Genomic DNA, 15,829 nt, shown 5'->3' with positions numbered 1-15,829 from the left:
GAAGCCACAATGGGAGTTTAACATAAGGAATTATTGATAGGGGATTGGAATGATAGGGAATTGGTTAATGAGAGCTAAAGACAATTCTAAAGAATACAGAGAGCCTGGGCAATATAGTAAGACCTCATCTCTACAAAAAATAAAGATAAATTTTAAGCCGGGCGCAGTGGCTCATGCCTGTAATCCCAGAACTTTGGGAGGCCTAGGTGGGCGGATCACGAGGTCAGGAGATCGAGACCATCCTGGCTAACACAGTGAAACCCCGTCTCTACTAAAAATACAAAAAAATTTAGCCGGGCGTGTTGGTGGGCGCCTGTAGTCCCAGCTACTCGGGAGGCTGAAGCAGGAGAATCTCTTAAACCCAGAAGGCGGAGCTTGCAGTGAGCTGAGATCGCGCCACTGCACTCCAGCCTGGGCCACAGAGTGAGACTCCATCTCCAAAAAATAAATAAATAAATAAATAAATAAATAAATAAATAAATTTTAAAATTAGCCAGGCATGGTGGTGCAAACCTGTGGTCCCAGCTACTGAGGAGGCTGAGGCTGAAGGATCTTTCTTTTTTTTTTTTTTTGAGATGGAGTCTCGCTCTGTTGCCCAGGCTGGAGTGCAGTGGCGTGATCTCAGCTCAGCTCACTACAACCTCTGCCTCCCGGGTTCAAGCAATTCTCCTGCCTCAGCCTCCGGAGTAGCTGGGACTACAGGCACCTGCCACCATGCACAGCTAATTTTTGTATTGTTAGTAGAGACGGGGTTTCACCACGTTGGCCAGGCTGGTCTCGATCTCCTGATCTTGTGATCCGCCTGTCTCGGCCTCCCAAAGTGCTGGGATTATAGGCATGAGCCACTGCGCCCAGCTGAAGGATCTCTTGAGCCCAGGAGTTTGAGGCTGCAGTGAGCTGTGATTGCACCACTGTACTCCAGCCTGGGCAACAGAGTGCTGTCTCAATAAAAAGAAAAAAAAAAAAAGAATGCAGAAATACAGAGGTGGCAGATATAAAGATCAGCTACTATCCCCGGGGCTGAGATACAGTATCCAATGAAGAATCTTCTCCCACAAGGGCTGAGATCCAGATGTCATTTGAAAGGCATGGCAGAGAAGCCACTGACATGCCTCACCAAATGAGACCTCCTAGAAATCTGCCCTCTGGGGTATCAGGTGAAGCTGCTATTCCACCAAGCACTGTTGGAACCAAGAACTGTAGGAAACTCACTCTGCAGGAGCCCATTGCTGGAAAGAGCTTTGCCAGTGCAAGGATCAAGCACTGTAGAGAGTCAGGCTATTAGAGGAGTCAAGCACGAGAGCATGCAGACTCAGCGAGAGCCCAGTGCCTGAGGAAGCTCTACCCATACAGGAACCAAGTGGCAGAGAAAGCCATGCTTTCTACCTGTTAGATAAAGTGCGCTTGGTGAGAGCACAGTGCTGGAGAAAGCTAGACTGCTACAGAAGCCAAGTACTGGAGAAGCGTGCTCTGCCAGAGTTCAGTGCTAGAGAAAGCCAATAAAGGTCAGGACCAGTGGTGGGTGTGCAAAAACTATCCAAGTGCCAGGAGCCACTCACAGCAAAGGCGGCATGTGGTATGGGATTTGTGGTGTCCATATTGGGGGAGGGAACGTGGTAAAGTGTTGCAAACTGGGGTCTTTGAGCCTCCCAAGGACTTTTCACTCTGGACATGCATCTAGGGCAGAGAACCACTGGGATCTGCCCCTGAAAAACTGCAGCAAGAGCAAGAAAAATGAAACCTCAACAGGACCAGAACCAGGAAGAGCTTCCCCTTCTTCTTGCAATGTCCCACCAGCGCCCTCTACTGACAAAGCATAACATCATGTTCTTTGCAAGGAGAAATGTATTAGAAGTCCAGCCCGTTATCTTAGAGCAGGTACTGGAGGGTGACATTTAGAGCTGAGACAACTGATTGAAAACTGACATAGTGCCAGAATCCCCACATAGGCTCTCTGACTCATAGACTGAAGGTCAATATGACAGGAAGGCCTAAGTGAAAGCCCCTGGAACTTCCCCTCCCTACAGAGAAAAGAAGCCAGTAGAAATACCACATTCCTGAGGGAAGCACAGAGATTAATGCCACCATCAAAAAATTAAAAGAAGCAAGGGTGATGACACCTATCACATGCTCATTTAACCCACCAGTGTGGCCTGTGCAGAAGTCAGATGGATCTCGGAGAATGACTGTGGACTATCATAAACTTTATCAGATGGTGACTCCAATTGTAGCTGCTGTTCCCAGATACAGTATCTTTCTTGGAGCAAATTAGTATTTGTAAGGCTGCTAGTTTGTTTGTTTTTTCCCTTTTTTTTTTTTTTTTTTTTTTTTTTGAGACGGAGTCTCACTCTGTCACCAGGCTGGAGTGCATTGGTGCCATCTGGGCTCACTGCAACCCCTGCCCCCTGGGTTCAAGCAGTTCTCCTGCCTCAGCCTCCCGAGTAGCTGGGACTACAGGTGCGCACCACCACGCCCAGCTAATTTTGGTATTTTTAGTAGAGACGGAGTTTCACCATGTTGGCCAGGATGGTCTTGATCTCTTGACCTTGTGATCCGCCTGCCTCGGCCTCCCAAAGTGCTGGGATTATAGGCATGAGCCACCACGCCCGGACTTTTTTTTTTTTTTTTTTTTTTTTTTTTGAGGCAGAGTCTCGCTTTGTCGCCAAAGCTGGAGTGCAATGGTGCGATCTCAGCTCACTGCAACCTCTGCCTCCCGGGTTTAAGAGATTCTCCTGCCAAGCAGCATCCCAAGTAGCTGGGATTACAGGCATGTGCCACAATGCCTGGCTATTCTTTGTATTTTTAGTAGAGATGAGGTTTCACCATATTGGCCAGGCTGGTCTCCAACTCCTGACCTCAAGTGATCCACCCACCTCAGCCTCCCAAAATCCTGGAATTACAGGCATGACCCACAGTGCCCGGTCTATGCTGCTAGTTTTGAGCAGGGACTGGAGCGAGAGAAGGCTCTGCAGCAAGTCCAGGCTGCATTACATCACATGCTGGTCTACTGTGTGGTGCTTGAGATCCAGCAGATCCGGTAACGCTCAGTGTCCATGGCAAACATGGCAAACACCAATAGAAGAATCCACTCCTTCACACCAACTTTTTTTTTTTGTTTTTTGAGTCAGGGTCTCACTCTGTCACCGAGACTGGAGTGCAGTGGCATGATCACAGCTCACTGCAGCCTCAACCTCCCAGGCCCAAGTGACCCTCCTACCTCAGCCTCCCAAGTAGCTGGGACTACAGGCATGTGCCACTACGCCTAGCTAACTTTTTCATTTTTAGTAGAGACAAGGTCTCACTATGTTGCCCAGGCTGGTCTCAAACTCCTGGTCTCAAGTGATCCTCCTGCCTCAGCCTCCCAAAGTGCTGGGATTACTGGCATGAGTCACGGCACCCAGCCCAACACCAACTCTTGCTACATTGTCTTCCTCTCCCTCCATTAGTGTCTATGACCTCCTGGAGTATCTCTCATTCTACAGAAGAGTCTGCAAAATCTGCTGTCATGGCCTCGCAGTGGCCGGAATTTTGACTAGTATGTTTGATTGTTTGCTATGTCTGGAATGAGAAATAGCCAGAAGTACAGACCTATACTAACGCATGGGCAGTTGCTCATGATTTGGCTGGATGGCCAGGGATTTGGAAAGAACAGGATTGGTGACAAGGAAGTTTGAGCTCTTGTAACTTTTTTTAAAAAACAGACTTCAATCAATTTTACTTCAGTTAAAACCATTTTGGCCAGGTGCAGTGGCTCACGCCTGTAATCCCAGCACTTTGGGAAGCTGAGGAGGGTGGATCACAAGGTCAGGAGAATGGCTGGGCGCGGTGGCTCATGCCTGTAATCCCAGCACTTTGGGAGGCTGAGGCGAGCGGATCACGAGGTCAGGAGATCGAGACCATCCTGGCTGACACGGTGATACCCTGTCTGTACTAAAAATACAAAAAATTAGCTGGGAGCGGTGGCGGGCGCCAGTGGTCCCAGCTACTCGGGAGGCTGAGGCAGGAGAATGGCATGAACCCGGGAAGTGGAGGTTGCAGTGAGCTGAGATCGCACCACTGCACTCCAGCCTGGGTGACAGAGCGAGACTCTGTTTTAAAAAATAAATAAATAACATTTCATCCAGGGACTGGCTTGATCTTCCCTCCTCTGGTTTCTGAGTCCCTTAGATGGGCTGTAACTTTTCTTTAATTATTCCTTATTTTATTTACAATTAGCAGTCAGAATAGTATGTTAGGTTCTATCAAACAGAGGCAAGTGGCGTAAGGCAAGTTTCCTCTTGAGTGGCCAGTGTGCTCTTTAGCTAGGTATACCATAACAAGGTACCACAGATTGGGTGGCTTCAACAACAGAAATTTATTTTCTCATAGTTCTGGAGACTGGAAGTCCAAGACCAAGGTGTCGGCAGAGTTGGTTTCTTCTGAGGCCTCTCTCATTGTCTTGTAAATGGCCTTGTTCTCCTTGTGTCTCTACATGGTCTTCACTTTGTATATGTCTGTGTCTAAATTTCCTCTTAAGTGTACCAGTCGTATTGAATTAGAGCCCACCCTAACAACTTCACTGTAACTCAATTACTGTAACCTGCACGGACCTTGGGAGACTGAACAAAGGGGGGTGAACACGGGAATAAAAGACAAAGACAGAAGAGTATATTTGGAAGAAGGGGTCAGGGGGCACCTTGTCTCTGGTGGACAAGGGCCCTGAGCTTTTTTTTTTTTTTTTTTTTTTTTGAGATGGAGTCTCGCATTTGGCCCAGGCTGGAGTGCAGTGGCATGATCTCGGCTCACTGCAAGCTCCGCCTCCCAGGTTCATGCCATTCTCCTGCCTCAGCCTCCCGAGTGGCTGGGACTACAGGTGCCCACCACCACGCCTGGCTAATTTTTTGTATCTTTAGTAGAGATGGGGTTTCACCATGTTAGCCAGGATGGTCTTGATCTCCTGACCTCGTGATCTGCCCGCCTCAATCTCCCAAAGTGCTGGGATTACAGGTGTGAGCCACCATGCCCGGCCAAGGGCCCTGAGCTTTACACAGCCCTCTGTATTTATTGGTAAAAGAGATAACGAGAAAGGGGGACTGGTTGTCGGGTAATTGTCAGTCAGCTGTTTGGTTCACAGCAGGCTTGTGAGACTGTATCCTTCGAACAATAGGCGCTAGATTTCCCAGTAGATAACTTCAAGGAGCCCGGAGCCAGGGAGTGATGGCCCTCAGCAAACCTTTTGGCAGCAGGCGCAGTGTGAGTTTGCTTACATCCTGCATTCATAATAAACAGTTTGCTGTTTGATCATGTAGCCTCCAGTGGAATGCTGAGTTGGTCACAATCCCTGTGGCCTTTTCGGCTCCCAACAAATTACCTCTTTAAAACCCTCTCCAAATACAGTCACATTCTGAGGTATCAGGACCTCTTCATATGAATTGGGGTGAGGGGGCAGGATATACATTCAGTCTACAACACCCAGTATTGAACAAATTTGCAGACCACTATCTGACTATTAAGGCATGAATAGGAAGCCTTACCTACAGGGCTTTTCAAGTGCAGGCAGGCATCTTTCCTCAAGTCAGTCTACCTGTGCAGCTCCCTTCTAAGTGCTCAAGGGTGAGCAGATTAGGTCAGTTCTTCCAGGGCTGTATGTTTATATGTGGTTTCTGGCAGGGGTGGGAGAGATGAGGGAGACCATTAATTAAGGTCTTTGATATGGTTTGGCTGTGTCCCCCCACCCAAATCTCATCGTGAATTATAGTCCCCATTGTAATCTCCACGTGTCATGGGAGGAACCCAGTGAGAGGTAATTGAATCATAGGGGGCAGTTACCTCCATGCTGTTCTTGTGACAGTGAGTGAGTTCTCATGAGATCTGGTAGTTTTATAAGGGACTTTTCCAACTTTGCTCAGCACTTCTTATTATTCCCACCATGTGAACAAGGACATGTTTGCTTCCCCTTCCGCCATGACTGTAAGTTTCCTGGGACCTCTCCAGCCATGCTGAACCGTGAGTCAATTAAACCTCTTTCCTTTCTAAATTACCCAGTCTCGGGTATGTCTTTAGCAAGGTGAGACCAGACTAATACATCTTTCTTCTTCGTCAGTTCTGGACCATGTTTACCCATCCATAGTCACAGGTAGTACTAGACCTTGACAGCCTTCCCCTTGTAAAACTTGGAATTTGATGGCTGGGTGCAGTGGCTTACGCCTGTAATCCCAGCACTTTGGGAGGCTGTGGCAGGTGGATCACTTGAGGTCAGGAGTTTGAGACCAGTCGGGCCAACATGGTGAAATCCTGTCTCTATTAAAAATAAAAAAATTAGCCATGCATGGTGGCATGTGCCTGTAATCCCAGCTACTCGAGAGGCTGAGACAGGAGAATTGCTTGAACCTGGGAGGCAGAGGTTGCAATGAGTGGAGATGATGCCACTGCACTCCAGCCTGAGCGACAGAGCAAGACTCTGTCTCAAAAAAAAAAAAAAAAAAAAACAACTTGGAATTTGACGGTGTAGAACAGAACCTAAGTTCTTAGGCAACAGGTTCACTCTCAAGGGGAAAAACAGAGGAAGAAACAGATATATAGACATACCATTTCTCCTTCCTAATAACTCCATTCCTTCCTAAGTAAGTCAGGAGGTGGGGGAAGGTCAGTAATGTTACACCTGTAGATCTCTACCTGCATAAAAGTAAACATCAGGAGTGGGGAAAATGTGTTCTCTCCACCAGCATAATGCAAGACAGCTGACAGAGTCCTCTCCTGGAGGGATTCCCAAGTTATCTCCAGCTGAGCTCTTTCATGAAACAAATAATATTTGTTTCCTATTGCTGCATAACAAATTACTACGCATTTAGCAGCTTAAAGCCACAACCAATTATTATCTCACAGTTCCCTAAGTCCCACTGTATGGGTGTGACTGGGTTCTTAGCTCAGTCTCAAAAGGGCAAAGTCTAGGTGTTGGCTGAGCTGGGCTCTTATCCAGATGCTTTGAAGAAGAATCCACTTTCGAGCTCGTTTAGGTTGTTAGCCAAAGTCAGCTCCTTGCTGGATGTTGGGTAGTGGCAGCTCTCTGGAGGCCTCCGCATTCCTCAGCACATGGCTGCCTCCTTCTTCAAGTCAGCAATGGCTTAAATGCCCCTCATAACTTCCTGTTCTGCTACCAGCCAGAGAAGAGCTTGCTTTTAAATGGCTACCTGACTAGGTGATAATCTCGGTATCCTAATATCAACTGACTTGGAATTTTAATTACATCTGCCAAATCCTTTCACAGCAGCACCTAAATTAGTGCTTGACTGAATAACCAGGGGACAGGAATCTTGAGGGGAGCATCTATTAGAATCCTGTCTGTCACACCAGGGAATCCCACTCTTTGCCCCAGACCCTGCGAGAAGACAGTTCCTCTCTGCCACAGGTTTGTTAGGTCCTAATCTAGCCCAATAGACAAGTGTGGTACACATTCTGTCCTCTAGAGAGGCCACAGTCAGCTCTTCGGCTCATTCATAAATTCTTAGCAACTTTGTATGAACTAGGAAAGAGGTGCCCTTTCCTTAAAACAATGTACTGTTATCTGTTGGAAATCTGTTGCACTAACTATACAAACCTCTTGTTTACCTGGTAGTGAATGGCACCCACCTCCAGGAGTTGTGAGTGGCCTTGATCTCAGTAGATCCTGTGGACTCAAATACACCCTGTGCTTTGCAACCACTTGCCCACCCTGGCTATTGTCATAGAGACATTTTTTTCCCAGAATCTTTCTGACATTCTTCATTGATTTATCTGTTAACGATTTGGGGAAAGTTTGAAATAAAATGGCTATAACTTCCTGAAAATGCTATAATGCATTATTAATACCCAGAAAAAAAATTTTGCCACTGGTCTGATATAATCTATTTGGGGGTTTTTTTTGTTTGTTTGTTTGTTTGAGACGGAGTCTCGCTCTGTCACCCAGGCTGGAGTGCAGTGGCGTGATCTTGGCTCACTGCAACCTCCGCCTCCTGGGTTCAAGCAATTCTTGCCTCAGCCTCCTGAGTAGCTAGGACTACAGGTGACTGCCACCAATCCCTGCTAATTTTTTGTATTTTTTTTAGTAGAGACAGGGTATCGCCATGTTGGCCAGGGTGGTCTCAAACTCCTGACCTCAAGTGACCCACCCACCTTGGCCTCCCAAAGTGCTGGGATTACAGGCATGGGCCACTGCGCCTGGCCTAATCTGTTTGTTTATACTCATAAGCAAATATCCAAAATCCTCCAAGGAGCAAACCCTGAAGTAACTGGAATATTAAGGCAATAATGGCAGCCACTAACGTTACTCAGTGCCTCTATCTATCTATCTACCTACCTACCTAGCTACCTACCATCTATCTCTGATCTATATGTGTATACTATATACACATACACTCACGTAATCTCATTTAATCATCACATTCCTTTTGGGTAGGGATTATTATGCCTACTTACAAATAAGAAAACTGAGGCTTTGTAATGTTATATTATTTACCCAAGGTCACAGATAAGAAGAAGCTGAGTCAGGATTCAAACCTCTGTCATCCATTTCAAAGCCCATGCTCCTAACCACTTTGGTGGAGATTAGCTGAGTGCCTGTGCCCTGAATTGAGACCTCGGGCTGTTCAGTGGTGAAGCCAGTGGCCCAACCTGGGACAGGAAAGAAGCCAAGCCTGGAATGTCCTGGTTCTATTCATGAAAATAGCCTGAAGGGAAAAGTGTGGTAGGGAATTGTTTGTAGCTAAGATAGCCAGTAGGACTTGGAGAGAAGTCCATAGAGGAGGAAAAATTGTAGGGCCCTGCATTGTTCACCATTATGTCTCCAGTGGCTGGCACCTTGTTGGGACTCAGTTAGCATGTGCCAGTCAACTGACTGGCCACCTGATCAGCCAGACAGCATGCCTGGGAAAGCTCCTCTCTGCACTCTGCCTCTCTGATGTCTGTTCCTGCTACCACCCCCTGCCCTCTTCAATAAACTAACTCATTTGAATCATGTCCTATGCTGCAGGCCCAGTGCTAAGTGCTTTATCTGCATCTTCTTATTTAAAGTCCTCACGGCTGGGCTCAGTGGCTCACGCCTGTAATCCCAGCACTTGGGGAGGCTGAGGTGAGTGGATCACCTGAGGTCAGGAGTTTGAGACCAGCCTGGCCAACATGGTGAAACCCCATCTCTACTAAAGATACAAAAATTAGCTGGGCGTGGTGGTGGGCGCCTGTAATCCCAGCTACTCGGGAGGCTGAGGCAGGAGAATCACTTGAACCTAGAGATTGCAGTGAGGCAAGAGGCTCTATTGCACTACAGCCTGGGCAACAAGAGCAAAACTCCGCCTCAAAAAAAAATTATTATCACCTTTGTCTTTGTACCACTACCCCAATATCCTTGAAAATATCCTTACTTTCTGGAATGAACAGGATGCTATAGACCCATCCTGATTTTTCTTGTCTCAAGAAATGTAATCAGCTACCCTCCAAGAACTCCTGGTTATTTTAATGGTAAACACTATTAGGCACCAACAACTGGGCATTAAGGATATACATAAGTGTCAGTAGGGTGGCAAAGTTTCACTCAGTGACGAGAGTTGAAAAAAAATTTTTTAAAGAGATGGAGTCGGCCGGGCGCGGTGGCTCATGCCTGTAATCCCAGCATTTTGGGAGGCTGAGGCAGGTGGATCACGAGGTCAGGAGTTCAAGACCAGCCTGGCCAACATAGTGAAACCCTGTCTCTACCAAAAAAATACAAAAATTAGCCAGGTGTGGTGGCACGCACCTGTAGTCCCAGCTACCCAGGAAGCTGAGGCAGGAGAATCGCTTGAACCTGGTAGGCAGGGGATGCAGTGAGTCAAGACAGCACCATTGCACTCCAGCCTGGGTGACAGAGCAAGACTCTGTCTCAAAAAACAAAAAAAAAAATACAAAGAGATGGAGTCTTGGCCAGGCGAGTGGCTCACACCTGTAATCCCAGCACTTTGGGAGGCTGAAGTGGGTGAATTACTTGAGCCCAGAAATTCAAGACCAGCCTGAGCAACATGGCAAAACCCCATCTCTACAAAAAATACAAAAATTAGCCAGGCATGGTGATATGCACCTGTAAGTCCCAGCTACTTGGGAGGCTGAGGTGGGAGGATCGCTTGAGATGTGGAGTTTGAGGCTTCAGTGAGCCATGATTGTACTACTGCACTCCAGCCTGAACAACAAAGGGAGAACCTGTCTCAAAAAAAAAAAAAAAAAAAAAGACAGGGTCTCAACTCTGTTGCCCAGGCTGGAGTGCAGCAGCGTGATCATAAGTTCTCGGCAGCTCAGACCTCTCAGGCTAAAGTGATCCTCTCACCTTGCCACCCCACCCCAGTAGCTGGGACTACAGGCACATGCCATCATGCTGGGCTAATTTTTTAATATTTTGTAAAGATGGAATCTCGCTATGGCTGGGCTTTTTGGTTTTGTTTTGTTTTTGAGACGGATTCTTGCTCTGTCACCAAAGCTGGAGTGCAGTGATGCGATCTTGGTTCACTAAAACTTCTGCCTCCCAGGCTCAAGCGATTCTCGTGCCTCAGCATCCCAAGTAGCTGGGATTACAGGTGTCACACCACCATGCCCAGCTAATTTTTGTATTTTTAGTAGAGACGGGGTTTCACCATGTTTGCCAGGCTGGTCTCGAACCCCTGACCTCAAGTGATCCGCCCACCTCAGCCTCCCAAAGTGCTGGGATTACAGGCGTGAGCCACCACGCCTGGCCCCAGGCTGGTCTTGAACCCCTGGCTTCAAGAGATCATCCTGCTTTGTTTGGCCTCCCTCCCAAAGTGCTGGGATAACAGGCTAAACCATCGTGCTCTGCTAAAAAAATTTTTTCTTTTTTTTCTTCAGACGGAGTCTCACTCTGTCGCCCAGGCTGGAGTGCAGTGGTGCGATCTCGGCTCACTGCAACCTCTGTCTACCGGGTTCAAGAGATTCTCCTGTATCAGCCTCCCGAGTAGCTGGGATTACAGGCGCCCGCCACCATGCCCAGCTAATTTTTATATTTTTAGTAGAGACGGGGTTTCACCATATTGGTCAGGCTGGTCTCCAACTCCTGACCTCAGGTGATCCACCCACCTCGGCCTCCCAAAGTGCTGGGATTACAGGCGTGAGCCACCGAGCCCGGCCAAAAGTTTTCTTAAAGGTAAAGGTTTATATTGATCTTTCCAATTGAACATATCCCTGATGGCCTGTGGATGCACCAACCACACTGACAGAATCATTTGAGGCTGCCTTTAGGTTATCTCCGTCTTAGAGCTTAACAGGAAGTTATGTAGCTTGCCCAAGATTACACTACAAGTAATGGCTGGAATTGGGATTCAAACCCAGCACTGTCTAATTTCAGAAACTGAGGTCCTACAGGTTTCCTACAAGGCCCTGCCTCACCCTCTGCCTGCTCTCAAAAATACCCAGCTTAATCGCTTGCAAAAGACTTTCCACCAACTTGCGCCATTTGGAAGTCATAAATGGGACAAGTTGGTGGAAACTCAGTGAGGTGGGGAGAAGAGGAAACACTACCCAGATTCTTCTTTTCTCCGTACAGGATTCGGGAGTGAGAATGACGAGGAGAGCCCTTCACGAGAAGGGGCTGAAGACAGAGCCCCTCAGGAGGCTCCTGCCCAGGAGGGGCCTCCGGACAAATGTCCGGCCCAGTTCCATGGCGGTGCCGGACACCAGAGCTCCCGGGGGAGGCAGCAAGGCCCCGAGGGCACCCAGAACAATCCCCCAGGGTAAGGGGAGGTGAGTGGGCTCCCCAAGCAAGCCAAGACCCCTAAAGCCTCCCTTGGCTGCCCCAAGATCCAGCCACTACCTGTGCCCCGAGGGCGGAAAGAGCTTCCCAGCTCACCCACCGCGGTAACATCGGAGGGCGAGCGGCCCCACACCTGCCCGAACCTAAGGCCACAGCACCCATCTGGCTCGCCACTGGCGCCCGAATGCATGGGAAGGGCTTAGGGCAGAACTCGGACCACATCCAGTGCCTGAGGCCGCCTTGCTAGAGGCCTAGGGGAGGGGTGCACTGGGCTGCCTCGCCCACCTCCTCACGCACCCATGCGGCCACCCTCCCAGCGGTCTGAGTGTGCCATGCGAGGCGCCTGCCACCCCGGGAGAGGCGCCGAGTCCCGAGTCCTGCCGGCACTGAGCCTCCGGGTCCACAGCGGGCAAGGGCCGTGGCGGGGACAAGCGCAGGGGACCCGCCGGCCTCCCGCCTTCTGCAGCACCACGAGATGCCCACGTGGCACCTGGACGTCCATGCATATGTTGAGGCCCGTGCACGCGCAGAGACCCCAGCGCAGAAGCCGCCCCGCACGCCAGGGCTTATGTATGCCAGCGCTGGGAGACCTCCAGCGCCCGAGGACATACGGCAAGTGGTTCCACCAGGGTGTCAGCCTAGCAGGCCAACCTGGGAACCCATGTGGACAAGCGGCCTTTCAGCCCAGGCGCCCGCCTCGGGTGGAGGCGTGGAGACTTCTGGCGCAGCCCTGAGCTGGTGGCCTAACCTACCTGGAAAATCCTAGCCCGAGAAGCAGCGCGAGTGAGCCTTTTGGGTGGTTCCAAGGCCCTTCACCAAGCTCTCACTTCCTGACTTCACCGTTGGGTCTGTTGTACTAGGAAATAATAACGCCTCCCATTTATCAAGGGTTTACTCTGTACCAGGCATTGTGACTGATGTAATTTAGTTCTCACTGCATCCCTGTGGCATGGATATTCTCATTATCTGCATTTTGCAGATGGAGAAATTGAGTCTCTGAGAGGTTAAGGAACCTGCCCAAAGTCAGCAATGCAGTACCACTTCTTGTGCTGGGACACAGCGGGGTTAAGGCCGTGGGTTAACAGGGCCTCCATTTATGGAGAGCATTCATTTTTCTCTGGTGAATTACAGAAAACGCTTTCTACACTGAAGTGAGTAGATACTCCCTGGGATGAAAGTCAACATTCGTACCAATGATTGAGATGACAGAAATTTCACGCTTCAAGCCAATGCTTTAGGTTCAGCCCATGGAATTCTGGAATGACCTTTTCTCAGTCGTCACCAGGGTGATGTTGGTGAAGGAAGCTCCATTCCAGGACCAGCTCCTGTGTAGAGCCTTCCTGGAGGCCAACAAGGATGACCTCTCTCCATTTGCCATCCCACTGGGTTGTCTGGGAAGTTCATCCAGTTCCTCTGGGCTAAGATTTCCAAGTTCCCAAAAGGGAAACTAATCTTCAGGAGTTGGGAATGAAAAAATGGGATTTGGGGGAATTCCTGAAAGCATGTTATTCTGTATTTTTCATAACTTTCTGTGTTTTTTTTTTTTGTTTGTTTGTTTGTTTGTTTGTTTTTGAGACGGAGGTTTGCTCTTGTCACTCAGGCTGGAGTGCAGTGGTGTGATCTCGGCTCACTGCAACCTCTGCCTTCCGGGTCCAAGTGATTCTCCTGCCTCAGCCTCCCTAGCAGCTGGGATTACAGGCACGTGCCACTATGCCCAGCTAATTTTTTGTATTTTTAGTACAGAGAGGGTTTCATCATGTTGGCCAGGCTGGTCTCAAACTCCTGACCTTAGGTGATCCACCCACCTCAGCCTCCCAAAGTGCGGGGATTACAGGCGTGAGCCACCATGCCCGGCCACTTTCTGTATTTTTTAATAAATAAGAAATACACATTTAGTAGTAGTTACAAAGATCTGTAGGCCGTAGCAAATATTCAGTAACTGGAAGATGCCAATGAACATTGTTGGGTAGTATTTAAATAACAAAATGTTCAAATATTTGACAAGATTAACAACACTACACAGAATCACGAGTTGAAATTGCCAGTTTAGGCTGAGTGTGGTGGCACATGCCTGTAATTCCAGCACTTTCGGAGGGCAAGGCAGGAGGATCACTTGAGCCCAGAGTTTGAGGCTATAGTGAGCTATGATTGCACCACTGCACTCCAGCCTGGGCAACAGAGCAAGACCGTGTCTCTTAAAAAAAGAGAGAGGGAGAGAATTGCCAATTTAAGGACTTATGTGTTTCCAAAACTTGTTATTTATTAGAACATCATTTGTAGGATTTGTATAAAACACAGTGCACGTCAACATTAATATTTGTGGGAATGACTCGCTCTTAACAACAGGTACAGCCACAAATATACTTTTAGTGTGTCAACAGCTACAAAAAGTATTTTGACTACTTATCTCCTAGGTACTCTTATCCCATATTCTGGAAATGTCTACCTTAACTTTATTTATTTATTTTTTGAGACAGTCTTGCTGCAGCTCCCAGGCTCAGGTGCAGTGGTGCGATCTCGACTCCACCTCCCGGGTTCAAGCAATTCTTGTGCCTCAGCCGCCCGAGTAGCTGGGATTAGAGGCATATGCCACCATGCCCGGCTAAGTTTTGTATTTTTTGTAGAGACACGGTTTTGCCATGTTGGCCAGGCTGGTCTCGAACTCCTGACCTCAAATGATCCAACCGCCTCAGCCTCCCAGAGCACCGGGATTACAGTACCTTAACTTTAGACTCTGTGTGTCAACGTTGCCTTCTCTTGCTTTCAATTTGGCATCAGTGGATTTCTTTAAGCCAGGAATGCCTCTATGTTGATTGTTAAGCATTAATTCTCACAGGAGAATTATAATGCTTTTCCCCATTTTCCCAATTTCTTGACTGATCGATTTTGGGATTCAGAAGAACATACAGATTTCCTGATAAATTCCAGAAGGGATTTCCTGCATAGAAACACTACTTTGGGGCTGGGCACAGTGGCTCATGCCTATAATCCCAGCACTTTGGGAGGCCAAGGCGGTTGGATCATTTGAGGTCAGGAGTTCAAGACCAGTCTCGCCAACATGGTGAAACCTCATCTCTACTAAAAATACAAAAAAAAAAAAAAAATTAGCCGGGCATGGTGCTGTACACCTGTAGTCCAAGCTACTCGGGAGGCTGAGGCAGGAGAATCGCTTAAACCCAGGAGGTGGAAGTTGCAGTGAGCAGAGATTGTGCACTCCAGCCTGGGTGACAGAGTGAGATTCTATCTCAAAAAAGAAAAAGAAAGGCCGGGCGCGGTGGCTCATGCCTGTAATCCCAGCACTTTGGGAGGCCGAGGCGGGCGGATCACGAGGTCAGGAGTTCGAGACCATCCTGAACAACATGGTGAAACCCGTCTTTCCTAAAAATACAAAAATTAGCCAGGCATGGTGGTGCGTGCCTGAAATCCTACCTACTCAGGAGGCTGAGGCAGGAGAATTGCTTGAACCCAGGAGGCAGAGGTTGCAGCAAACTGACATCCCACCACTGCACTTCAGCCTGTGTGACAGAGGGAGATTTGTCTCAAAAGAAAAGGAAAAAGAAAGAAAAAGAAACACTACTCTGGACTGAGCAGCATCGGCAAGTCAAGTCTGCTGCTGGAATTTTACCTAGAACATTGAATCTTGCCTTTTTGGTTTCAGGGGCCTCAGAGCCAGAGAATCCAAGTATGGATCCTAGCTCTGCCAGTTCCTGGTGGCGAGGTCTTGGGCAAGTCACTTTACCTCTCTGAGCTTCAATTTAATGGATAGAATAATGTGTGGGGAGTCAATGCTTGCTTTTTGAGGCAATATTGTAGGAGGGTTAAGAGTGTGGCTCTGTAGTCAGTCTGAGGTTTGAATCCTGGCTCCATTACTTACCACCTCTTTGATTTGAGGCAAGTTACGAACCACTCCATTTTTCTCTTCTGTAAAGTGGTGGCACTGATTGATGATTGTGGCAGACATCATCTTCATAGAGTTTTCATGAGTTTAAATGGGATCACATATGAAAATGCTTAACATAGAACATGGTACATTGTAAGTGCTTGATAAATGCAAACCACTGTAGCTGTTACCTGCTGTATCTACCTCAC

At 48.2% G+C, this 15,829-nt stretch overlaps 1 protein-coding gene across 1 annotated transcript in view, besides 2 other annotated features; it reads left to right on the top strand.

The window, feature by feature from the left end:
* The window catches only part of BCL7C (BAF chromatin remodeling complex subunit BCL7C), a 60,452-nt gene extending 47,396 nt beyond the window's left edge, over positions 1 to 13,056 (top strand). Inside the window, exon 6 of the mRNA NM_001286526.2 lies at positions 11,534 to 13,056. Coding sequence (NP_001273455.1) covers positions 11,534 to 11,734 — 201 coding nt within the window. The 3' untranslated portion in view covers positions 11,735 to 13,056. The remainder of the gene's footprint in view (positions 1 to 11,533) is intronic.
* Positions 1,832 to 1,931: an enhancer, noted in NCBI's record as "active region_10731". NCBI's record gives its function as "activates an Ori minimal core promoter by ATAC-STARR-seq in GM12878 lymphoblastoid cells {active_cell/tissue: GM12878}" and the evidence as "EXISTENCE:reporter gene assay evidence [ECO:0000049][PMID:35858748]".
* Positions 1,972 to 2,061: an enhancer, noted in NCBI's record as "active region_10730". NCBI's record gives its function as "activates an Ori minimal core promoter by ATAC-STARR-seq in GM12878 lymphoblastoid cells {active_cell/tissue: GM12878}" and the evidence as "EXISTENCE:reporter gene assay evidence [ECO:0000049][PMID:35858748]".
* Positions 13,057 to 15,829: the final 2,773 nt, after the last annotated feature.

This window comes from Homo sapiens, chromosome 16 (assembly GCF_000001405.40).
Source record: "Homo sapiens chromosome 16, GRCh38.p14 Primary Assembly".
NCBI classification, from domain to species: Eukaryota; Metazoa; Chordata; class Mammalia; order Primates; family Hominidae; genus Homo; species Homo sapiens.
The sequence above is the reverse complement of the archived record's forward strand: the minus strand, read 5'-3'. Positions and strand labels throughout refer to the sequence as shown.